Below are 24,421 nucleotides of genomic sequence, written 5' to 3'. Positions count from 1 at the left end.
CATATGAATTTTGGAGGAACACATTCAGACCATATCAGTCACCTTCCTCTTCTTTGAAATAGAAAAAGCTCAAGGCCAGAGAGTTTATTTTAGTAAAGTTTTGACATACCTGTCTTCAAAGATAAAACATGAAACAGCATTCCACACACAAAAGTAAAGTGATTTTGTTCATCCTTCACTGTGAGGTATTTTAACCACAGAGATTCTAATTTTTTGGTCTTGGATGGGTCCTGGGAGTCAGTATTGCCTGGCTAATTTTTGTATTTTTAGTAGAGATGGGGTTTCACCATGTTGGTCAGGCTAGTCTCGAACTCCTGACCTCATGATCTGCCCGCCTCGGCCTCACAAAGTGTTGGGATTACAGATGTGAGCCACCGTGCCCGGACAGGATTCTGCATTTCTCTTTTTTTTTTTTCGAGACAGAGTCTCAGTCTGTTGCCCAGGCTGGAGTGCAGTGGCACGATCTTGGCTCACCTCAACCTCCACCTCCCAGGTTCAAGTGATTTTCCTGCCTCAGCCTCCTGAGTAGCTGGGACTACAGGTGCGTGCCACCATGCCCAGCTAATTTTTGTATTTTTAGTAGAGATGGGGTTTCACTATGTTGGCCAGGCTGGTCTCGAACTCCTGACCTTGTGATCTGCCTGCCTCAGCCCCCCAAAGTGTTGGGATTACAGGCGTGAGCCACCGTGCCCAGCCTGGATTCTGCATTTCTAACGAGCTCCCAGGTGTTACCAATGCTGCTGGCTCATGGACTACACTCTTAAGTAGTAAGGCCCTAGGCTATTAAAGGAAATACAGATTCCTGGATTCCACCTATCAGAGATTCTGATTCTGTTAGTATTTTCTGTGAGACCCAAAAGTCTGCAGTTTAACCAGCTCTCTAAGGTGTTTCTTAGGCCCAGCTGGACTGGGAAATTACTAGAATAAATGACATGGAATCAAAACCTGGGAACTAATCCTGGGTCTGTCATTAACTCCTTAGGAGATTCCCATCCCCTCTGGAGATCTGTCATCAAGAAATGATTGGAGAAGTTAATCTCTTAGGCCCTTCTAGCTCTTGCCTTTGAGAACCGCCCACCTCCCCATTCCCACCTGGTATCCCCAACCCAGTACAGTTCATGGCCAATGGCGGTCCAAGTCTTGGAACTACAATCCCCACAATGCCTCGCGCCTCTCCTCTCACGTGACGTCATGAAGGAGGCTTGATAACGGCGGTGTTCTCCACAATCCTTTGCGGTGGTTCAAGATGGCGGCGCCCAGTGGCACAGTGAGCGATTCGGAAAGTAGTAACAGCAGTAGCGATGCGGAGGAGCTGGAGCGGTGCCGCGAGGCGGCAATGCCGGCTTGGGGCTTGGAGCAACGCCCGCACGTGGCAGGGAAGCCAAGAGCCGGTAGGGTACTATGTTTGGGGAGACTGGCTGAGGGGCGTGGGATCTTCCCCTGGAGCCTGAGAGGATGGATGGTGAGGAGAGAGTCACTGGGACTCGGCTTCCTTCCCCGAGAGACCTCCAGGGACTGGGTGTAGTGCAGATTGAAAGCATGGGCAGGTGCAGTAGGGAGGGTATTTCATTATTCCAGTCGGGGAAGCTGAGGTACCCAAATGTCTTTTGATTCTGCCTCCTTGGGTCTATCCTCACTGCCCCACACTGGGAAGGCTGCCGTCTCTTCGAGATAACTGCAACAGCCCCCTCCCGGTATTCTCGCACCCAGCCTTTCCCCACCTCCAACACATTCTCCCACCCTGGAGGTTGTTGCCAAGAGCAGTGCCCAGCACATCACTCTGACCGTGACTCCCTAGTGCCCTGGGAATAAATACAGAGCCCCGCAACATCAAGGGGCCTAATCATGGATAGAACCCAAGGGTTCTTGAATTTGGAATGAAAACATGTTGCATCTTTGCTTTCTATTCATCTCTGACTGAATTTTAGCATCTCTTTCCGTCTTGCAAGCACTAAGCCACAGTAGTTCTGGCAATGCCGTTACTTTATCCCAACAGAAGTCACAGATTTTCATATCTCATTACAATCTTTGCAGATACAGATATCAATATATCATTTTATTGATAAAAAGATATTGGGGAAAAAAGTCATTTACACTCATCCCTGATTTAAAATGTGCCACTCTAATTTTTAGACCCATCTCTATATCTAAGATGTAAGAAGCACATACATCACAAGTTTGGTTGTTTACTATCATGATAATTAAATTTCGGTATCATTGGTTTTCTTTGTAATCCTGTATGTTGCATTTCATGCATTTAAAACATTGCTCTGAGAAGAGAACCGGGCTTCACCAGGCTGTTAGAGAAGGCTATGGCAAAGCAAGGTTAAGAACCGCTGGATTTGTTTAAAAGGACTTACAAGCCCTTTGGTGATCCATTGCCTTCCTCTCCCTTCCTTCCCTCCTGCCATACTGCACTTCCTGTAGGTAGCTTCCAGACCATAGTCTGCCCCTCTCACCCCCTAGTACCATAACCACAGTTTTCTCTGCAAGTTCTATTTACAGATCTGCCTTTCCATCTCATTAGCGGTGGGAACTTGAGCAAAGTACTTAAATCTCACTGTACCTAAATTTCCTCATCTGTACAGTGCGGGTAGTGATAGTACCCACCCCATAAGGTTGAGAAGTAACTGAGATAATGCAATCTACAGTGCTTGGCACATCTTAAAGGCCCAATACATGGTGGCAAATATGTGGTTGGTCTTTCCACATGGACTGCTTTCCTCCTCCTGCCTAATTCTCGCTCTTTTTTTTTTCAAAACTAGGACTCAGTCTGTTACCGAGGCTGACACAATCATGGCTCACTGCAACCTCGACCTCCCCCTACTCAGATGATCCTCCCACCTCAGCCTCCCAAGTAGCTGAGACTACAGATGTATAGTCCCAGCTACTTTTTGTATTTTTTGTAGAGATGGGGTTTTGCCATGTTGCCCAGGCTGGTCTCGAACTCCTGGGCTCAAGTGATCCTCCCTTCTCAACCTTCAAAGTGCTGAGATTACAGGTGTGAGCCACTGTGCTCGGCTTCTAGTTTTTTTTGTTTGTTTGTTTGTTTTTTGGGGTTTTTTTTTTTTTTTTGCATTTTTTTTTTTTGAGATGGAGTTTCACTCTTGTTGCCCAGGCTGCAGTGCAATGGCACGATCTCAGCTCACTGCAACCTCTGCCTCCTGGGTTCAAGTGATTCTCCTGCCTCAGCCTCCCTAGTAGCTGGGATTACAGGCGCCTGCCACCACGCCCAGCTAATTTTTTGTATTTTTAGTACAGACAGGGTTTCACCGTGTTGGCCAGGCTGGTCTCAAACTCCAGACCTCAGGCAATCCACCTGCCTCGGCCTTCCAAAGTGCTGGGATTACAGGTGTGAGCCACCGCGCCTGGTCTCTTTTTTTCTTTTTGAGACGCAGTCTCGCTCTGTTACCAAGGCTGGAGTGCAATGGCGCGATCTTGGCTCCCTGCAACCTCCGCCTCCCAAGCTCAAGCAATTCTCCTGCCTCAGCCTCCTAAGTAGCTGGGATTACAGGTGCCCACCACCAGGCCCAGCTAATTTTTTTTTATATTTTTATTAGAGACAGGGTTTCACCGTGTTGGCCAGGCTGGTCTCGAACTTATGACCTCAGGTGATCCGCCCACCTTGGCCTCCCAAAGTGCTGAGATTACAGGCATGAGCCACCACACCCAGCCTAGATTACATTCTTGAGTGCGTCTAGTAATAGCCACCAGGAGTTGAGAATTTTCTTTTTGCCCCTGTTCTAAACACTTTGTATTTGTTGTCTGTTTTCATCTTCCCAGCAATGCCACAAGAGGGTGTATTAGCCCCATTTTACAGAAAACTGATTCTCATAATGGTAAAATAACTTGGCCAAGGTTGTCCAATTTGTGAGTGGCAGAACCAGGCGTAAACCCAGGCCTACCTGACTCCCAAGTCCATGCTCTTCATTGCTGCTGTGCCACTCTGCCATGGACAAGTGTCTATTGTGGTCAAAACTCCCACCCTTTGGTCCATGACTGTGGAAATATAGGTCACTATTTTATTTATGTAACCTCTAGAGACAGCTCTTAAATCCAGTGATGAACTCGTCACTCAAACCACTTTAATTTTAGGGTAGCATCTACTTTGACTTATTTTTCTGACAATTAATTCAAACCAAGACACTATGGCAGGATCTGGGGATACAGAGGTAAAAAGAGGCAGACCACGTATTCAAGTAGCTTACAAATCCAGGAAGGGGATGGGTATGGAAACAGCGTCCACAACACTGACTCCAGAAGGTTGGTAATCGTATTCCCATTTTATAGATGAGAAAAACAAAGGCTCAGGGAGAGAAAGTGACTTGCCCGGCATCACACAGCTTGGTGGCAGAGCCAGGACTCAACTGAACTGTCTCCCTCTGTAATACTGTTTCTGTTCCCTGACGGTACCTCACCTTCATCACACTGTAGTCATGATGGAAGAGATGCTCTTCTTCCAAGTGATTATGTGCTGAAGACGAAAGACCAGGTCTTTAAAGACTGTCCATCCAGGCCCCCACATTACCCACCTCCAGGAGCATGGGGCGTGTTTAGCATTCTGTGTTGTGCTCTGGAGTACAGTGACACAGACCACAAGGTACTAGGACACAGATGCAATGTGTATGGGTGATGACATAAACACAGCAGTGCCCCCATGGAGCTGTTTCTTACACCATGGCCCTCCACTGGGCCCGGAGCTACCAAGTGTCCACTTTGTTCAGTTGGCCCCTTAAATATACAAGCACGTTTTGTCTTGTTAGTTAAGTCAGAAACCTCAGAGCTAACTTTCACTCATTTCTCACGCCCTGTAGTCAGTCCATCAGTGAATCCTATTGACTCCATCTTTTTTTTTTTTTTTTTTTTTTTTTAGACGGAGTCTTGCTCTGTCACCAGGCTGGAGTGCAGTGGCGTGATCTTGGCTCACTGCAACCTCCGCCTCCTGGGTTCGAGCGATTCTCCTGCCTCAGCTTCTCAAGTAGCTGGGACTACAGGTGTGCACCACCACACCCAGCTAATTTTTGTATTTTTTAGTAGAGATGGGGTTTCACCATGTTGACCAGGATGGTCTCGATCTCTTGACCTCGTGATCCGCCTGCCTCAGCCTCCCAAAGTGCTGGGATTACAGGCGTGAGCCACCGCGCCCGGCCTTGACTCCATCTTAAAAGTGCATCTATCTGGAGTTCACCCACTTCTCACCACATCAATTACTGCAGCAGACTCCGTGTTCCTGCCTTTGCCCCAACAGTCTCACGCTGCACAGCAGCCAAAGATGTTCTGTCAAAACCCAGGTCAGTTTATGTCCCTTCTCTGCTCATTTCCAGAGCTCCTCCTCCTCAAAGTCCAGGTCCTCCCATTGGCCCACGTCAGGGCCCTTCATGATCTGGCCCCTCTGAGTTCTCCATCTCTGCTGCTCCCGGTTTACTGGGCAGGCTCTGGTCACACTGACCTCCTTGCTGGTTCTAAACACACAAAGCAGGCTCCAGTCTCAGGGCCTTTGCAGATGCTTTCCCTCTGCCTGGAAGGCTGTGTCCCACATGTCCACTTGGTTCACTCCCTCTCCTCTCTCAAATCTCTGTTCAAATGTTGCCTTATCAGTGAAGCCCTCTCTGCCCACCTTTATGTTAACAATCCCCAGCCCAACACTCCCCACCTCTCTCGCCTACTTTGTTTCCGTTTTTTTCCATACACTTAGCATTATCCAACTTGACATTTTGTTTACGTATGTGTGTTTATCATCTCTCTCCACCAACTAGAATGTAAGCTCCTGCAGACAGTGATAGTCGAGTAAGTTGCTCAGCAATGACAACACCTGGTTAATAAAAGGCATTCAGTATCTGGTTTGAGGGAATGACCAAAAGGCCGGGCATCCCCACCGTTTTGGCTTGAAAAATGTGATCCACAAAAGAGCCATCTTCTCTCTCTTCCACGGCACTTAGCACACAGCCAGGCAGGCATTAAACTGTGCAGTCAAATCACACTTAGACCTGCCTGTTCAGCACAGCGTGGTGGTTAAGAGGGGGCTCAGGAGTCAGATGGCCTGGGCCCCCAGCCCAACCCTGTCACTTATTAGGTATTTGACTCTGGCCAAGTTATTTTACATATCTTTGACGTTTCTTCTGCAAAATGGGATAATTGTAATCCCTCCAATCGGGTTGTTGGGAAGATTCACTGAGTTATATGTGTTATATATATTTTAAGTTACATATATAACTATTTTAAGTTTTATGTATATATAACTAAGTTATATATATAACTATTTTAAGTTTTATATATATAACTAAGTTATATATATATTTTAAGTTATATAACTAAGATATATATATATATAATGTACTTACATAAAATATGTAACTATATTATATACATATATAACTAAATTATATGTAACTATTTGAAGTTATGGGTATATAACTATTTTAAGTTATATATAAATATAATATATATGAGTTACATGTGTATGTATATATATGAGTTATATGTATTTTAAGCTGCTGAAAATAGTGCCTGGCACGCATTTGTTGTTGCTGTCATTGTTTCCTCTATAAATGCCCTAATTTTCATTTTTCCACAGGTGCTGCAAATAGCCAGTTGTCAACCTCCCAACCGAGCCTCAGGTACTATGCACTTTGGGTTCAAGTTTCACTTATTCAACAAATACTGATCCCCTGCGTGTGCCAGATGCTAGGCTTCACGCCTGGCATTTCCAGGTGAACAAGACACACATGGTCCCTGTGCTCATGGGGACAGCTTCTGAGCGGGCAGGAAGTGAGGTCTCTTTGTGTGTGTCGTAGGCATAAGGTGAATGAGCATGAACAAGATGGCAACGAGCTTCAGACCACCCCTGAATTCCGAGCCCACGTAGCCAAGAAGCTGGGAGCCCTGCTGGACAGGTAAACAAAGGTGGAGTTTCTCCTCTCTTGCCCTTGTTAATATGAACAGCAATGGCTCACATTGGCTGGGAGCTCACGGTGTCCAGGCTGGCACGGTGGCAGGCACCTGGCATATGTCATCTCCCTGCATTTATAAAGAACATTATCATGTGGGTCCTGTTGTTACCTTTATCCTCCAGGTGAGGAAACAGGCTGTCAGCAAGGAGACAGGTGTGCCTGAAGTCACATCATCATCGCAGCTACCATTTACTGAGCAACTGTTTGTGGCCAGGCTCTGTGCTAAGTGCTTGATGTCCATTTTCTCATTTAATCCTTCTGATGACCCTGAGAGGTAGGGACTGTTATCATTCCCACTGTACAGATGGGTAACTGAGGCTCAGAGAGGCAAAGTCATTTGCCCAGGGGACACCGCTATTAAGTGACAAAGCCAGGATTCAGAACCCAGGAGGGAACAGAATTGGGCCTCAAACCCAAGTGCGTCTGACTCCAAGCCCACATTTTTTTGTTTTGTTTTGTTTTTTGAGACAGAGTCTCACTCTGTCGCCCATGCTGGCGTGCAGTGGCACGCACAATCTTGGCTCACTGCAGCCTCCACCTCCTGGATTCAAGCGATTCTCATGCCTCAGCCTCCCAAGTAGCTGGACTTAACGGGCACCTGCCACCATACCAGGCTAATTTTTGTATTTTTAGTAGAGACGGGGTTTCACCGTGTTGACCAGGCTGATCTCGAACTCCTGACCTCGAGTGATCCACCTGCCTTGGCCTCCCAAAGTGCTGGGATTACAAGCGTGAGCCACTGTGCCGGGCCAAGCCCATGTTCTTAACCCCTGCATTATCCTGCAACCATGAGAGTAAGAGAGGAACATCGAGAAGCTCATTCCCGCCACAAGAGGGCAAGGAAGGACCGTGTTCCTATTTCTTGGGTGCCTTCTGTATGCTAGACACTGTGCCAGGTCTCTATCTTACATTCTCAGCACAGGTTGATAACCCAGTCGGTAAGGATTCAGGTTGGCATTCCTAAAGTAGGTGTCAAGGATACAACCTGTTTGAGTCCATATGGGCTGCTATAACAAAATAACATAAACTGGGTAGCTTATAAACAAAATAAATGTATTTCTCACATTTTGGAGGCTGAGAAGTCCAAGATCAAGGCACCAGCAGATTCAGTGTCTGGGGAGAGCCCTCTTCCCAGTACAGATGGCGCCTTCCTACTGTGTCCTCACATAGTGGCATGGGCGAGGGGTCTCTCTCAGACCTTTTTTATAGGAGCAGCAATTTCATTCATCAAGGCTCCACCCTCCCGACCTAATCACCTCTCAAAGGCCCCCATCTCCTAATCCTAATACCTTGGGTTGAGGATTTCTCTTTTTCTTTTCTCTTTTTGGAGACAGAGTCTCCCTCTGGAGCACAGTGGCGTGATCTCGGCTCACAACAACCTCCAGTTCCTGGGTTCAAGCGATTTTCATGCCTCAGCCTCCTGAGTAGCTGGGGTTACAGGTGCGCACCCACCACGCTTGGCTAATTTTTTGTATTTTTTGTATTTTCAGTAGAAATGGGTTTTCATTATGTTGGCCAGGCTGGTCTCGAACTCCTGACTTCAAGTGATCCACCGGCTCGGCCTCCCAGAGTGCTGGGATTGCAGGTGTAAGGCACCATGCCCAGCTGGGGTGAGGATTTCACCATAAGAATTTGGGGAGGACACAAACATTTGGATTCTAGCACTAGCCCAAAGCGTGGCTTTAGAAAAAAGGAGGTCCAACAGCAAAGAAGCGTGAGAAACACTGCAATCTACATACCTCCACGTGTCCTTGCAGACTGCAAGCCAGAGTAGTATATTCAAGGCTCTGAGAATTCCTGTAGTGAAGAGACCTGTGTAACTGTTTAGCCCAGCATTTTCCAAACTTGTTTGGCCACAGTGCCTTTGTTTCATGGAAAACCAGTCAACAACCTGCGGAACAGGTCTGGGGATACACTGGTCTAGATCTGTTCCTGACTGGCAGAGCCCTGGCAGGGTTTTGAAAGGGAGATGAGGCAGGATTTGGGGCCATTGTCATTCCATTCAAAGTAGATATCAAAAAGGACAAATGAGCCTTCCCAAAGTGTGAACCAGCTATTCTTCTGAGACAGAATGATGGGCCAGAGCCCCGCAGCCTGAATCCCACAGGGTTCCCCTCAATTGGAGAAAGTAGAGGAGGTGTTTAGGAAGGCAGCTGCATTTCAGCCTGTGGGAGCAGTTTTCCTTTGTGACTCTCTGGCTTCAGGCTGAACAGGGCCTGCTTGGCATTGCACTGAGTCACAGAGATGTTTCTGCAGTAGAAATGCCAGTCAGCCATGGTTAGAATATTCCCTGCAGCATTTTCATGTTTCTCCAAAGAAATCTAAATGATACCTTAGGCCAGGCGTGGCAGCTCATGCCTCTGATCCCAGCACTTTGGGAGGCTGAAGCGGGTGGATCATTTGAGGACAGGAGTTCGAGACCAGCCTGGCCAACATGGTGAGACCCCATCTCTACTAAAAATGCAAAAATTAGCTGGGCATGGTGGCGTGCACCTGTTATCCCAGCTACTTGGGAGGCTGAGGTAGGAGAATCGTTTGAACCCAGGATGCAGAGGTTGCAGTGAGCTGAGATCGTGCCACTGCACTCCAGCCTGGGTGACAGAGTGAGATCCCATCTCAAAAAAAAAAAAGGAAATGTAAATGATACTGCATTTGGTCCCTAGTGTTAGGTCAGTGTCTCTCAACCTTGGCGCTACTGACATCTTTGACTAGCATTTGTCGTGGGGGTCTATCCTTCTTCTTCCCATTATAGGATGTTTACCAACATCCCTGGCCTCTACCTACTAGATGATAGTAGCACTCACCCCACCAGTTGTGACATCCAAAAATGTCTCCAGACATTGCCAAATGCCCCTGATGGCCACCATTGAACCACTGTGTGGGGTCAAGAACAGGTGCCTGGGTGGCATCATCTCTACTCCCTCTCCCCGGGTTGCTTTTCCTGAACAGGGCTTGGGGGGCACCTTTGGCATACAGGAAGGGAGGTTAGGGAAAGCACCCAGGGCATTGCTGCGTCTGCCTCGAGGGCATTGCTGAGAGCCTTGTTCTCTGCTGTGCACAGTGGCATCTCCATCTGCACTCACCAGACACATGCTTCCTGGCCTTGTGCCTCTAGAGAAATGTGGTTTATTTTTATGTTAGAGAGCCTGTGAAGGCTGAAGCTTTTCTTGATGACAGTCATCATCTGCATCGTCATCATAGCTACCATTTGCTGAGCAGCTACTTGTGGCTAGGCCGTGTGCCACAAGTGCTTGATATCCATTTTCCCCTTCAATCCTTGTGACAACCTTAAGAGGTAGGGACCTTCATCGTTCCCACTGCACAGGTGGATAACAGAGACTCAGAGAGATAAAGTCATTTGCTTAAGGGACATAGCTAATAAGTGACAAAACCGGGATTCAAAACCCAGGTCTCTGAAGTCTGAATGAGGTCCATGAATTGGATCAATTTGCATTTCCTAGTTGTGATGTTGTACTATAGCGAGGCACAATGTTACCATTGCGAGAAAATGGATGGAGGGTCTATGGAACATCTGCATTATTTGTTGCTACTGCATGTCTACAATTATCTCCAATTTCTTTTAATTAAAAAAAAAAATTTAAAAACAGGTCTGCCCTGCTCCAGAAGCTGTCCTCTGAACCAGTTTTCTAGATTGGTCATATTTCCCTTTTCATGCTTGCTGCTAGGAAGCTCAGAGCAAAATGTATGCCCTCTCTCTAACAAGTGTATAGGACTTCCTGACTACACTTCTAGGTCTTTCTGTTCCTCTTGCCCTTATATCTCTTTGTCCTATTTGAAATTGCATTCATTTTGTTAAATTCTTTTCTTTTTTTGGAGATGGAGTCTTGCTCTGTCACCCAGGCTGGAGTGCAGTGGCGCAGTCTCAGTTCACTGCAAGCTCCGCCTCCCAGGTTCACGCCATTCTCCTGCCTCAGCCTCCCGAGTAGCTGGGACTACAGGCGCCCGCCACCATGCCCGGCTAATTTTTTGTATTTTTAGTAGAGATGGGGTTTCACCGTGTTAGCCAGAATGGTCTCGATCTCCTGGCCTCATGATCTGCCTGCCTTGGCCTCCCAAAGTGCTAGGATTACAGGCGTGAGCCACCATGCCTGGCCTCATCTTGTTTTACTATGTCTTTAAAACTTCTTCAACACTTACTGGAATAAAGTGGGCTTTAAAGAAATGAAGCACTGCAGTTCGCGTGGCAGAGGCTGGTCAGCATGTTATAACCAGACCATCAGCCCTCTTACTAGGCCAGCACGCTTTCGCTTTTGCATTTACAATCACATACCCCATCCCCTCCACTTGAAAAAGAATTTTGTTTTTGTCGTTATCCAAAAATCTCATCTTAAATCAACCGTCTCGTCTCCCTGTAGCTTCATTACCATCTCAGAAGCAGCAAAGGAGCCAGCAAAAGCTAAGGTACAGAAAGTCGCTTTGGAGGATGATGGTGAGTGGTTATACTTAATAGAAGCTATCATTTATTAAGCACCTAATGTGTGTCTGGAGGTGGGCGAAACAGTTTTGGTATATTCTTTTTTTTTTTTCTTTTTTTGAGATAGGAACTCTCTCTGCCACCTAGGCTGGAGTGCAGTGGAGCAATTATAGCTCAATGCAGCCTCAACCTCCCGGACCCAAGCAGTCCTCCCACCTCAGCTTCCTGAGTAGCTGGGACCACAGACACACACCACCACCCCTGGCTAATTATTTATGTTTTTTAGAGACAGGATCTCGCTATGTTGCCCAGGCTGGTCTTGAACTCCTGGCCTCAAGCCATCTGCCCACCTTAGCCTTCCAAAGTTCTGGGACTACAGGCGTGCACCACCACACCTGGCTAATTTTTGTATTTTTTTTTAGAGACAGGGTTCTGTCATGTTGCCCAGGCTGGTCTTAAACTCCTGGCCTCAAGCTATCCTCCCGCCTCAGACTACCAAAGTACTGGGGTTACAGGCATGGGCCACCTCACCATTCTTTCATCTGCTCAGCCCCTGTGGTGAGGCAGGTATTATGATTGAACCCCATGTACAGACAAGGAGACTGAGGCCCTGAGAAACGAAGTCATTTGCCTGAGGCGGCCTCGTCTGTGTCACCCTGAGCAGGAGCACTTTACTGCTGCCCTCCACAGCCTCGCCCATCTGCGTCTGTCCTGTACCAACACATTTGCCACTTTGAAGGCTGCCTTAGGTCAGGAGCTCAAGTGCTGACTTCCAGAAGCCTCTGAGGGCTTGCTGAGCTGATGTGGCTGCTGGCTCCTGCTCCAGCGCGCCCTCCACTGGCTCCATCAGGCATCAGCATGACCCTTGGCAGATGCAGAATCACTTTGTAGTTAGACGACTGATTCCTGGGTCTTTGCCTCTGGACCAGGAGCTCCTGAGGGCAGAGGCGGGGCAGCTTCAGCACCTGGCACCTGGGAGGAGGGGCTGGCATCTGGGGGTGCTGACTCTGCTCCTTTGTTTTTTTTGTTTGTTTGCTTGGTTGGGTTTTTTTGTTATTGTTTCTTTTTTAAATTTTTTTATTTTGTGTCTTCTTAAAATTTTTTTTTTGTTTCTCTTTATCTTTTCTTTCTTTCGTTTTCCTTTTTAAAATTTTTTTCTTTTTTGTTTCTTTATTTTTTATTTTTTTATGTTTCTTTTTGTTTTGTTTTGTTTTTGTTTGACTCTGCCCCATTGAATCTTAGGTTTCCGCCTTTTCTTCACATCTGTCCCTGGAGGCCGTGAGAAGGAAGAGTCTCCCCAACCCCGCCGAAAGCGACAGCCCTCCAGCTCCAGGTGAGAACTCACACCTCTCCTCACGTCCCCTCCTTTTTTCTCCTCTTCTGTCTTGGTGGGTTCCCTGGAATAGCCAAGCAGACTCCAGTCAGGACCAGGCCAAGGCAGTGGCCCTGTCAGGCAGCTGGAGAAATCATGAGCTCAGCGGGAGGGAAAGCCCTCTTGGCGGCAGCTTTGGATGTTTACTGCTTTTGAGCACCTGTCTTGGGCCAGACACCTCACTTGATCATAGTTGCCTCCTGGGACATCCCTGGGAGGCCTGGACTCTGTTAAGATCCCCGTTTTAGAGATGATACAGTCAGAGAGGTTAAGTCACTTAAGGAGGTCACAAGGCTGCTACGCCCAGAAGCCAGTATTGGAAGCCAGGTTGGCCTCACTCCCAAGCCTGAACTCACTACCTGCCTCTCTCTGCGGCCACCTTCTGGTGACCTGGACCAAGGGAGGACAGCGAGAGGCAGCTCTGGGGCTGTGTCCTGACTCCAGCTAACCCAGGGTACCCTCTCGTTGCAGCAGTGAGGACAGTGACGAGGAGTGGCGGCGGTGCCGGGAGGCAGCTGTGTCGGCGTCCGACATCCTACAGGAGTCAGCCATCCACAGCCCTGGAACAGTGGAGAAGGAGGCAAAGAAGAAAAGGAAGTTGAAAAAGAAAGCCAAGAAGGTGGCCAGTGTCGACTCGGCTGTCGCTGCCACCACCCCCACCAGCATGGCCACAGTCCAGAAGCAGAAGTCAGGTGAGCTCAACGGGGACCAGGTGTCGCTTGGGACCAAAAAGAAGAAAAAGGCAAAGAAGGCCAGCGAGACCTCTCCATTCCCACCAGCAAAGAGTGCTACAGCTATACCTGCAAACTGAACCCAGCCATGGGCACAGGGCTCAGCCAGCTCCAAGGACAAGGTGTCCCCCCCACCCTGGGGACAAGGCATTTCCAAGCCCCACCTCCCTCTCCAAGTTCAAGGACTGGGCTGGCAAACCCAGACTGCCCATGAGACCCTGATGGTGATGAAGGCTTGCTCGAGAGTTGGGCCAAAAAAGTGGCTGTAGGGTGAGAAGACCAATCAAGGCCTGCCCCTCTGTGCTCCCACGGAGGGCTGGCGGGGGCGCTGTGGTTCCAGAACATTTCATGACCTCAGGAAAAAAGGAACCTTCCAGTTATTTGAGACTAGTGGCCAAGTGGTGAAACCTCCATCTCCCTAGAACTGTCTGAGGTGGGCAGGGGAAGGGAGACCTTCCCCACCACCTCCTTAGCCTGGTGTGAGAAACAGTTTTTAGAAAATGAGAGAAGGGATCCCCAAGAGGCCAAGGCCCAGAGAAACTTTTGTTCTTCTCTCCTTAGCCCACATAGACTTCACAGAATCGTCTGAGAAAGGAGAGCTTTTTCACCCCTGGCTTTCTAGAATTTTCTTTGTCTGCATTTGTGAATATACCACACATGATGGTGTCTCTGAGCCGACCAGATTATGGAAACTCAATTGTCAGAGGACCCAAAACAAAACTTAGAGTGATTTGGATATTGCCTCTCTGTCAATGCTGAACCTTAAGACATTTTAAGTAAACATCCTCCTCCTCTCTACACCCCCAGGATTTGTGCGTTCACCCCACCCAAGACTTCAGGAAGTGTCATAGCACTCGTGGACTAGGTTTCATGGGACAAAGGCATTCTGCAAGAAGTAGAAGCTTGTGGCCGGGTGCAGTGGCTCATGCCTGTAATCCAAGCATTTTGAGAGGCCAAGGAGGTGGATCAATTGAGGCCAGGAGTTTGAGACCAGCCTGGCCAACATGGCGAGACCCCATCTCTACTAAAAATACAAAAATTAGCTGAGCATGTTGACACACGCCCGTAATCCCAGCTACTCAGGAGGCTGAGGTGGGAGAATCGCTTGAACCCAGGAGGTGCAGGTTGCAGTGAGCCGAGATTGCGCCACTGCACTCTAGCCTAAGCAATGGAGCAAGACCCTATCTCAAAAAAAAAAAAAGAAAAAGAAAAAGAAAAGAAGTAGAAGCTCATGGCCAGGGATGGTGGCTCACACCTGTAATCCCAGCACTTTGGGAGGCCGAGGCAGGTGGATCACTTGAGCCGAGTTCCAGACCAGCCTAGGCAACATGGTGAAACCTCGTCTCTATAAAAAAAAGAATACAAAAATTAGTTGGGCATGGTAGTGAGCGCCTGTGAGGCTGCTTGTGAGGCTGAGGTGGGAGGATCCCTTTAGTCCAGGAGTTCAAGGCTGCAGTGAGCTGTATAATGCCACTGCAGTCCAGCCTGGGTGACAGTGAGACCCTGTCTCCAAAACAAAATTTTTTTAAAAAGTAGAAGCTTGAGGTTAAGATGAAATCTGGCTTTGTCATTAGAGTCTCAGCAGAGCAAGAAAAGCAGAGATGTGGGGTGTGAGAGCGTGGGTGCTGGAGCCTGTCTCCTCTTCGCAGGCCTCTGGCCTGCCCCAGCCTCCCGCTACCTGCCCAAACCCCATCTGAATGATTTGTGGACAAGCAAGAAGTTTCCACCGCATTTCTCCTTGACTTTACTAAAAGTTAAATAAACGTGCCACTCGCCCCGGCTGGCTACAAGCTGCAGGGGGTGCCGGGTCACCCCAGGCCTTTTCCTGAATCCCAGGGTAGACGCGGTACACTGAAGGCCAGGTTCTCAGCAGCAGGCCCAGGGATGTGGGACCATGCTTGTCCTGGGTTCACAGGCTCCTTTGTCCCTCCTGGCAGTGCTCAGGACCTCAGACTCCTCAGGGTGGCTGCGAACTGCCCTCAGCCAGCCAGGCCCCCAGGCTTCTGAGTGTTAGTCCTGTCCACACAGGTAGCTCCTGTGCCCTGGGGTCACCTCTTTCTTCTCCTGGGCACCTCAGCTTGGCCAGTTCCCCGGCCCTGCTCAGCTGCTCGGGCCTTGCTGCCTTGTGAGCTCAGCTACTCCTGCCCCAAACAAGGGCAGGGTCTGCAGGGCGCTCGAGACAGAGGAGCTGCCCCACCAGGACCTGGACTTGGCACGGGTTGCGAGGCTCCCACAGGAGTAAGGACGACTTCCCAGCCCCGAAGTAGCCTTCCCAGTAGAGGCAGGAGGCCAGGCTGGCCTCAGAGGCATGATGCTCTTGGGAACAAATACAGGAAAGCTGGAGGTCATGGGGCCTGGGAGAGGGAATCGCTGGGGATGGGAAGCCAGGAGAGCCCTGCCTGCCTTCCCTGTTAGCTTCGGCCTCCCTGGGCTCAGGCGTTAGAGCCCCAGGCTCTGGCACAGAGTAGCCACCCAGGAAATGCCTGTGTGAGTAGGTGATGGGGTCAGTACAAATGGCATGTGGGTCACTAGCTGGAAGGAGTTGGGGCAGGAAGGAGTGGCCCGGTGGGTACATTGGTGACAGAACAAGGCCACGCTGATCCAGGGCCTCTCAGAGCTCAGCAGGTCACAGCTACACAGGCCTGTGTCCTGAGAAGTGTGGCTGCCAGAGTGGTGTAGCGGTCCCAGGGCTCTCCATAGGCCCAGGCTGGGGGTGCCCAAGTCATAGGCCGCCCCCTTCAGTTCCAAGTAAGAAGACTGTATCCCACGAAGCAGCGACAGTCCCTCCTACATCTGCCATGAACAGGCTTTGCTCCTAGCTCTCCACGACCCCCTCCTGTGCACCCCGAGCAGCCTCCACGGGTTGGGGCGCCTCAGAGCCCTCCCTTTCTGATGCATCAGAGCAGAGTGGGGAGCGAGGCACAGCTGTCCAGGAAGGGCCACGGTTGCTCGGCAGGCTCAGGTCCTCCAGGCAGGGCTGGCTGCTGCCCTCATCACCCCCCAAGCAGGCAGTACAGGCCCCAGGGCCCAGGTGCCGTGGTTACTGGGAGGAAGAGGCCATCTGGGTGGAGATGAAGGTCTCGATGACGCTGTGGTTGGATGGCAGCAGGTGGCTCTGGCCATTGCTGGAGTCTGAGCTCTGGTACAGCACCAGGCTGCTGGAGGACACTGCAGAGGCAAACAAGGCTGCTAGCCACCCACCAGGCACCCACACCCACCCCACCTGCCTGTCCCTAGGGGTACTCAGGATGGGGAGGCAGGGCCACACCTCCTGGATCACAGCAGATAACAGGAACCCCAAAGTCACACCTCTACCCTCGGTTCTTCAAAGGGAGCCTCCCAGCCAGGGTCCACGGCCGCCCATGGAGTGGCCTGAGTACATCTTAGTGTGAACACTGGAGAAGCCCCGGTGAGATGCCGAGGTAGGTAGTTGTACGTGTTGGCTTGGCTAGGCTGAGTCAAACACTAATCTAGGCGCTGCTGTGAATGCAGGTGCTTTGTAGATGTGGTTAATGCCACAATCAGTTGGCTTTGAGTGAAGGAGATTACCCTGAAAATATGGGTGGGCCTCCTACATCAGTGGAAGGCCGTAAGAGCAAAAACCGGTTTCCCAGAGAAGGAATTCTGCCTCAAGGCTGCAGAATTCACTCCCCAGAGCTGCCAGCAACAGATTTCAGGCCTGCCAGCCCCCCGCAGACACGGGCCAAGTCCTTCAAATAAATCTGTTGGTTCTGTGTTCCTGGAGAACCCTGACTGATGGCAATGGTTAAGAGAATGGGCTTTGAGGTGGGACCTGGGTTCGAGTCCTGGCCCTGCCATCTGGTAGCTGTGGGAGATGAGGCAAGTCCCTCCCCTCCTTGAGTGTCCACTTTCTCATCTGTAAAATGGGGGTGGTCATGGACACGCCTCATGGGGTGAATGCCAGGACACAGAATGGCCTCAGTGGCTGTCATGACAGCTGCCAGGGCCGGGTCCAGGAACCTTATAGAAAGGGGGCAGCTTGCAAAAAGGCAGGCTGCAAAGCCCACCCACCTGACTCCAAAGTGCCCACTCCTGACAATGGCATCATAGATTACAAACTCAGGTGACCGCCCCACCGCCAGGGGTCATTGGAGCCGATGTGAGTGGATGCAGTGAGGCCTGGTGCACTGTTATATGGGAATATGAATTTTTCCAATTTTCCAAAAGATGCCAGAAATCTGGATTTCTATGTGAAAATTCCTGATTTTGAAATGTTGGCAACAAATTCAAAGAATGTTCAACCCTGAGCCAAGCCAAACCAAACACATGCAAGAGTCGCTTCTGGCTCACAGACCTGGTCCTTATCGTTACTCTCCACTGCCTCTAACAATTACTTCATCATTTTCCTCAGTCCAGTCCCTGAGATGTTCTTGTAAGGTGGGCCCCATCTTCCTGGGGTCGCCTGTGCCTCTTGGGCTTCATGGAAGCCCACCCCACCCCTCCACGCCTGCCAGTGCTTCCTCACAGCAGCCCTAGGCCTGCTGCATGCACAGCCCCACAGTGACGGACAGCAACAGAAGGGGTGGGACCAACATGGAAGGGGGCAGGGACAGTAAGGGAGGGGGTGGAGCCAGGGCCTCTCACCTGTGGGGCTGGCGCTGAGCCGGTGGGCCGGCTGCAGGTGCTGGATGCTGGCAGGGTCCTGGCTGGGGACGTGGAGGGTGGTGGCCTGAGATGCCGGCGTGTGAAGCCCGGACTCACTGGAGGCCTCAGTGTCTGAGGTGAAGACCTGGGGGAGCAGAGCAGCCTCCTGAGCCCGGGGGATGTGGGGGTGAGGGGCTCTGTCACAGGCCAAGGGAGGGCCAGCAGGCCTGGACCTTACCTGCTTGGTGGGCGTGAGGCTGGCCAGGGCGCTCAGGTTGGTGGTGTCGGTGATGAGCATAGTCTGCGGGAGCAGGCCCGTGTGGGTGTACTGGGCCACCTCGGGCTTGTGGCTGTAGAGGGCTGGCCGCAGGGGAGAGAGGGGCAGACGTGGCAGACGTGCCTGACAGCCCTAGTCCCAGGCCTCAAGACTGGGGAAAGGGGGGCATGGGGCCTGCTGAACAGCCAGACTGGGCAGCAGTTGGAGATCCAGGGCTGATTTTCAAAACTGGAGGCTCCAGATAAAGGGACAGACCCTCTCCCCATTACAGGGAACTGCTCAGCTGCGCTTGATGCAGGGGAGCCTGGAGGAGGCCAGAAACCAACTCCAGCTCCTCTTGTCACCTGGAGACAGCAGGTATGAAAGGGAACGGGAGGTGCAGGTGCAGGGCTACTGTACTAAGCACGGGTGCTACGTACTAAGCGCAGGTGCTACTGTACTAAATGCAGGCGCTATGTACTAAGCACAGGTGCTACTATACTAAACACAGGTGCTATGTACTAAGCACAGGTGCTACTGTACTAAACTCAGGTGCTGTGTAGTAAGTTCAGGTGGCCCCTGTCAAAGAGCAAGGCAGAGGACAGCAGTACTTCCATCTCCAGGCCACCTTTCCAAATATAACCCCATGTTTTGCCTACAGCACCTCCACCCACCCCTCAGGAGACACATAGACCCTACAAGAGACACACAGACACTAGGAAAACGCACATAAACCACATATTCTCACAGTGACTCAGATAAAAATGTAACACACACACACGCATACACTCTCAACCATGTACACACAGACATACACAGGCCCCAAATCTCTTAACCCAGTCCCAAATTCCAAAAAGGTCTGAAACCAAAAGATTTCCTTAAGATTGGCACTAGAGCTCATTTGGTGGCGAAACCCAGCCTGAACCTGGTATGAGGTTATGAGTGTTTAAACTGCCTTGTGGAAATCCTATCTTTGGCTGCAGAAATAGCAGTGCTTTGATCACAGGGGGCTGTCTCAAACCCTGCTGGGAGTGTTATGTGATAGCTGGCATATCCACCAAATTACTTTTCTTTTTCTTTTTTTTTTTTTTGGCAGAGTACTCACTCTGTTGCCCAGGCTGGAGTGCAGTGCAGTGGCACAATCTCAGCTCACTGCAACCTCCGCCTCCCAGGTTCAAGCGATTCTGCCTCAGCCTCCCAAGTAGCTGGGACTACAGGCACGTGCCTCCACGCCTGGCTAATTTTTGTACTTTTAGTAGAGACGGGGTTTCACCGTGTTGGCCAGGCTGGTCTTGAACTCCTGACCTCAAGTGATCTGCCCACCTCGGCCTTCCAAAGTGCTGGGATTACAGGCATGAGCCACCACGCCTGGCCCCAGATTACCTTTCTAAAATCTGAATAGATTTTAGAAATTCATATGGCCCTAAGAGTTTCAGAGAAACACAGGCATGCACACAAATGCATGCACAACCGATACACACCCAGACACGCACTAGGGATCTGCTCACACAAGCAGTCGTGCACACACACAGATACGTGCATTCACATGGGAACACACTGGCCTGCAGACACCCTCAATCACGGAAACACACTTGTCCCAGAGACACATGCAGACTGCAATGCCTGCCAGGCACCCCTTTCCCCTGCATCCATTGACAGCCAACCTCTATCATCATCTCCTGCTGTGTGGGGCACAGGGCGCTCACCGTGGGGGCTCTGCAGCTGAGCCATGGTGGCCATGAAGGGGCTCTGGGTCACATGGCTCTGCACAGGTGGCATGAGCGGCTGCTGGTAGGAGGGGTGCAGCGGCTGGGAGAACTGGACGGGCTGCAGGGTGGTCAGGCTGCTGCCCATGCTGTTGATGACCGGCACACTCTGTGCCTGCGTGGAGGCCAGGCCTGGAGTGGAAGGGGAGGGAATCAGCTGGGCCCCCCAGTTATATCCCACCCCTGCCCAAGACCTCCCAAGGGCACCACCTCTCCTTCCCAGAGCCCGTGGTTTGGAGGAGGGGGCAGGGTGGTCAGGAAACAGCCCTCCACTGGGACCTGCCACTAATTTAAGTGGCTCTGGCAAGTCATTCCCCCTCTCTGAGCCTTTAGCTCTTTGTCTAGGCTAGTGGGAGAGGCAGGCGGTGACTTGTTCAAAAGTTGTCAAACTGCGGTTCCCTGGAGCCCTGGGGTTCCACAGCAGTGCAAAGGCCATGGGGTCAGTTCTCTGCTCCCCTCTCCTAGCAGCTCCTTATCTATCTTATGTACTGGGCTTCTGCATAATTGTACCTGCAAATAAGGGCTTTCTGGGCTTAATTTTTCTTCATAAAACAAAAACTTAGAAAACATCAGTCCCCCTTACCCTGCTGTAATTTGCCCATAGACCCTTCACCTTCTGAGGTACCACAGAATTGATGTATTATGCTTAGTGCCTGCCTCCCTGCTTGAGTTGCTGAGATTTTGGTCTGTTTGGTTCACCCAGGTATCACTGATGTAGCACAGTGACTGGTCCAGAGTAGGCACTGGATAAATACATGTTGTATGAATGAATGAATGAGTCCCAGTGGCTCTTCCAGCTCCTGGATTCTGCGGTTGCCCCATGAGCCTCCCACCCAGGTGCCCACCCATCCCCACCAGCTTACCGATGACCAGGGTGGAGGCACCTGTGTTGGTGAACGTAGGACCCAGGGAGGCAGGCTCACCAGGCCCGATGGTCATGACCCCAGGAAGTGAGGCCATGATGAGGTTCTGGGGCTGCTGGTTGAGGCCTGGGGATGTCTGCTCCAAGCTGTGCAGTGCTGTCAGGGTGCTGACAGGGGGGAGGGGGCCCCCAGCTGCTGAGACCTACGAGGGGAAGCCAAGCTGTGTCCGGGGGGCCGGGGTCCCCACAGGGCCTCCCTAGGGACTGCTCCAGAATCTCCCTGCCAAGGAAAGATGAGGTTGGGTTTTCCTTACAAGCAAGGACACTCACCAGCTTGGCTTCTGTACTCAGCAGGCTGTGGCTGGGCTCCAGGCCCGTGGGGGACACTTGGTGGAGGGGTGTAGACACTGTCACTAAGGGACCGCCGCTGCTTGAGGGTACTTCTGCAGTCTCACTGGTCGCAGGCTGTCCATAGCGCACACCTGGAGAGGGAAGCAGTGTCCTGCCTCAGCACCCCACTTCCCTGCCCTCCCCTGCCTCCACAGCCCTCAGCACTTCAAACTCCATTGGTTTGCTTAGGCCAGCTGCCTGTCTGCCTTTATGCAGCCAGCAAATCTGCCTTTGTTTCTACCTTTTGCCAAGCCCTGGGTCAGCTGCTCCCAGTTCCTTGAAGGCTGGGACTGCATTTATTAGCTCCATTCCTCCCACTGCCTAGTGCTATACCTGACATGCAGTAGGTGCTCAGTAGAAGACAACTGAACTGAATTTAACTGAATTTAGTTGAATTGAAATGAATTGAATTGATACAATCTGAAATGAATGAATTGAATTGAATTAACCCAAATCAACTTAGGTTGAGTTGAGTGGAATGATATGAAGTGGAGTGGATGGTGTGGAGTAGAGTAGATGGAATTGAGTGGAATGAGTGGGATCAAGTGGAATGGGTACAGTCGAGTGGAGTGGTAAAGGGTGGAGAGGACGGGTGGGGAGGAATAGAGTGGAGTGGAATGGTATAGGGTGGAGTGGATGGAATGGTGAGGAATAGTGTGGCGTGGAGTGGAATGAATGGAGTGGCTAGAGTGGAATGGATGGAGTTGTGTGAACACAGTGGAGTGGAATGGTATGGAGTGGAGTGAGTGGGTTGGAGTGGAGTGAATGGAGTAGACTGGAATGGTGGAGTATGTGAATAGAGTGGAGTGGAATGGTATAGAGTGGAGTGAGTGGATGAAGTAGAGTGGAATGGATGAAATGTGGAGTCATGTGGAGTGAATGGAGTTGAGTGGATGGGACAGATAGAATAAAATGGTATGTAGTGGAGAGGAGTGGAGAGAAGAGTGGGTAGAGTGGATGGAGTGGAGTCTAATGGAGCTGGTTGGAGTGCAGTGGATGGAATGGGTGGAGTGGAGTGGATGGAGCAGAGTTGAATGAAGTAGAGGGAGTGGAGTAGATGGAGTTGAGTGAGTGGAGTGGATGGAGTGGAGCTGAATGGAGTGGATGGAGTAAGTGGATGGAATAGAGTATGGAGTGGATGGAGTAGAGTTGAATGTAGTAGATGGAGTGGAGTGGATGGAGCCAGGTATGGAGTGGATGGAGTGGAGTTGAATGTAGTGGATGGGATGAAGTTGGATGGAATGGATGGAGTGGAATGAATGGAGTGGAGTTGAATGTAGTAGATGGGATGAAGTTGGATGGAATGGATGGAGGGGAGTGGATGGAGTAGAGTTGAATGTAGTAGATGGAGTACAGTGGATGGAGTGGAGTTGAATGTACTGGATGGGATGAAGTTGGAGGGAATGGATGGAGTGGAGTGGATGGAGTGGAGTTGAATGTAGTAGATGGGATGAAGTTGGATGCAATGGATGGAGTGGAGTGGATGGAGTAGAGTTGAATGTAGTAGATGGGATGAAGTTGGATGGAATGGATGGAGTGGAGTGGATGGATGGGGTAGAGTTGAAGGTAGTAGATGGAGTAGAGTGGATGGAGTGGAGTTGAATGTAGTGGATGGGATGAAGTTGGACGGAGTGGAGTGGATGGAGTGGAGTTGAGTGGAGTGAATGGAGTAGAGTGGATGGAGTGGAGTCGAAGGTAGTGGATGGAGTGGATGGAATGGGGTTAATTGTGGTGGATGGAGTGAATAGAGTGGAAAGGAGTAGAGTGAATGGAATGAGATAGAGTGGAATGGATGAATGAACAGAGTGAAGTAGAGTGATAAGGAGTGGCATGAATGGAATGGAACCAAACTGAAGTGCAAAGAGGTTTAGGTGACTGCTGTCACTGGGACAGTCCTCCCCAACCCTCCCACCTTCCCACGTGTCCCTTGTCCCCACATACCACTTACCGTGGACCTTACTGGGGGAGAGGGCAGGTGGAGGCAGGCCAGGGGAGCTGTGAGCGGGCAGCGCAGGTCCCGGGCCTGGCCCTGGGGGGGGCCCGCTGTACGTGTCCATGGCCAGCTTGTGCCGGAAGGCTTCTTCTTTGCGCCGGTTGGCAAACCAGTTGTAGACACGCACCTCCGTGACGAGGTTGGAGCCCAGCCCCTGTGCCTGTGATGGGGACACCCCTCTCTGGATGCATTCCGCCCTGCAGAAATAGCCACCCATGAGCCTCCAGGCCAGGCTCAGAGGAACCCTGTCCTGGGCATGAAGGGGAGGGTTCTGAGAAGCTGAGCTCTGCCGGAGGGTTTGAGGCTGGCAGATCTGGGTTCCAATGCCAGGTCTGCTGTGTGACCTTGGGCAATTGACAGTCTGTCTGACCTCAGTCTCTCCATTCATAAAGTGAGCAAAAGAGCCATAGGATTGTAGAGAGAATCGAATTGGGTGAGCATCCATGGAAGGGGTTGCTTGGTGTCCAGGGTGCAGGGGGGCTGCGAGGAATGGGCTTAGGTTCAAGTATTCTCAATTTTCTGGGCCAGGCTAAGCCAATATCAGGAGTTCTCGGCAACTGGACAGCCTTTTACAGGACCTAGAGTCACCTTCCCCTTCCCTGGCCTTGCCGCAGCCCAGACCAAACCAGCACTGTTTCCCGCCCGCCGTTGTACCTATTGCACTCCTCCACTAGCGTCTCTCGCTCCTCCTTGCTAGGGTTCTTCTGCCTCTCATAGGCCTGGAACAGGATCTGCTGGGATGCTGGGCCCCACTTGAAACGGTTCCTCCGCCCCTTCTTGGTTGGTAGCTCATCACCTGTGGGCTCTTCAATCAGCCCTCCCTGCCCTGCATGGGTGAACTCTGCAGGCACAGAAAGCCGTGAGTGGGGTACTGGCCACTCTCACCTTCCCACGTCCATTCCCCTGACCTTGCCCTTGATTCTTTCTCATTGCCATGGCGCTGAACCAGAGGAGCTTACAGCTAGAACTTAGAAATCATCTAATCTACTGATGACAAACACACAGCACACATGCCATCACTTTCTTAACCTGTGTTCAAGGCAAACATCACTAATCAATCC

At 50.7% G+C, this 24,421-nt stretch overlaps 2 protein-coding genes across 14 annotated transcripts in view, besides 3 other annotated features; one reads left to right on the top strand and one right to left on the bottom strand.

The window, feature by feature from the left end:
* Positions 1,059 to 1,568: an enhancer, noted in NCBI's record as "active region_7152". NCBI's record gives its function as "activates an Ori minimal core promoter by ATAC-STARR-seq in GM12878 lymphoblastoid cells {active_cell/tissue: GM12878}" and the evidence as "EXISTENCE:reporter gene assay evidence [ECO:0000049][PMID:35858748]".
* Positions 1,138 to 1,331: a silencer, noted in NCBI's record as "fragment chr12:121454193-121454386 (GRCh37/hg19 assembly coordinates)". NCBI's record gives its function as "represses an EF-1alpha promoter that drives an FKBP-Casp9 reporter gene in an ReSE screen in K562 erythroleukemia cells {active_cell/tissue: K562}" and the evidence as "EXISTENCE:reporter gene assay evidence [ECO:0000049][PMID:32094911]".
* Positions 1,234 to 17,235, top strand: C12orf43 (chromosome 12 open reading frame 43). Of its 10 annotated transcripts, NM_001286198.2 has the most exons (7): positions 1,234 to 1,391; positions 5,035 to 5,291; positions 6,575 to 6,617; positions 6,795 to 6,893; positions 11,327 to 11,400; positions 12,628 to 12,718; positions 13,229 to 15,299. In NM_001286198.2, the coding sequence occupies exons 2-7, from the start codon at positions 5,273 to 5,275 to the stop codon at positions 13,566 to 13,568; spliced, it is 666 nt and encodes a 221-aa protein (NP_001273127.1). In that variant the 5' UTR covers positions 1,234 to 1,391; positions 5,035 to 5,272; the 3' UTR covers positions 13,569 to 15,299. The 10 variants fall into 10 exon arrangements, 9 of the variants coding, with proteins under 9 accessions (NP_001273127.1, NP_001273125.1, NP_075046.1 ...); NR_104409.2 differs by lacking the exon at positions 5,035 to 5,291 and having other exon boundaries at positions 6,795 to 6,903; NM_001286196.2 differs by lacking the exon at positions 5,035 to 5,291 and having other exon boundaries at positions 12,661 to 12,718; positions 13,232 to 17,235.
* Positions 1,540 to 2,055: an enhancer, noted in NCBI's record as "H3K27ac hESC enhancer chr12:121453469-121453984 (GRCh37/hg19 assembly coordinates)". NCBI's record gives its function as "activates a minimal SCP1, AML or CMV promoter by ChIP-STARR-seq in primed H9 embryonic stem cells {active_cell/tissue: H9 hESC(primed)}" and the evidence as "EXISTENCE:reporter gene assay evidence [ECO:0000049][PMID:30033119]".
* The window catches only part of HNF1A (HNF1 homeobox A), a 23,970-nt gene continuing 14,757 nt past the window's right edge, over positions 15,209 to 24,421 (bottom strand). Inside the window, exons 3-10 of one of the 4 annotated variants that reach the window (NM_001306179.2) lie at positions 24,015 to 24,201; positions 23,316 to 23,557; positions 21,308 to 21,459; positions 20,979 to 21,180; positions 20,056 to 20,247; positions 18,332 to 18,453; positions 18,094 to 18,259; positions 15,209 to 16,656 (exon numbers count right to left, since the gene is read on the bottom strand). In NM_001306179.2, the coding sequence (NP_001293108.2) occupies positions 16,529 to 16,656; positions 18,094 to 18,259; positions 18,332 to 18,453; positions 20,056 to 20,247; positions 20,979 to 21,180; positions 21,308 to 21,459; positions 23,316 to 23,557; positions 24,015 to 24,201 (1,391 nt within the window). In that variant the 3' untranslated portion in view covers positions 15,209 to 16,528. Of the gene's footprint in view, positions 16,657 to 18,093; positions 18,454 to 20,055; positions 20,248 to 20,978; positions 21,181 to 21,307; positions 21,460 to 23,315; positions 23,558 to 24,014; positions 24,202 to 24,421 lie in introns of all 4 variants that reach the window. The other 3 variants (NM_000545.8, XM_024449168.2, NM_001406915.1) reach the window with 3 other exon arrangements.

This window comes from Homo sapiens, chromosome 12 (assembly GCF_000001405.40).
Source record: "Homo sapiens chromosome 12, GRCh38.p14 Primary Assembly".
NCBI classification, from domain to species: domain Eukaryota; kingdom Metazoa; phylum Chordata; class Mammalia; order Primates; family Hominidae; genus Homo; species Homo sapiens.
The sequence above is the reverse complement of the archived record's forward strand: the minus strand, read 5'-3'. Positions and strand labels throughout refer to the sequence as shown.

Excerpts from the sequence above, each read along its gene's own strand:
- C12orf43 (NM_001286191.2), top strand. The coding sequence starts at position 1,247 with ATGGCGGCGCCCAGTGGCACAGTGAGCGATTCGGAAAGTAGTAACAGC. Across the intron at positions 1,392-6,574 it reads GGCAGGGAAGCCAAGAGCCG|GTGCTGCAAATAGCCAGTTG; the intron begins GTAGGGTACTAT and ends ATTTTTCCACAG. Across the intron at positions 12,719-13,231 it reads CGACAGCCCTCCAGCTCCAG|TGAGGACAGTGACGAGGAGT; the intron begins GTGAGAACTCAC and ends TCGTTGCAGCAG.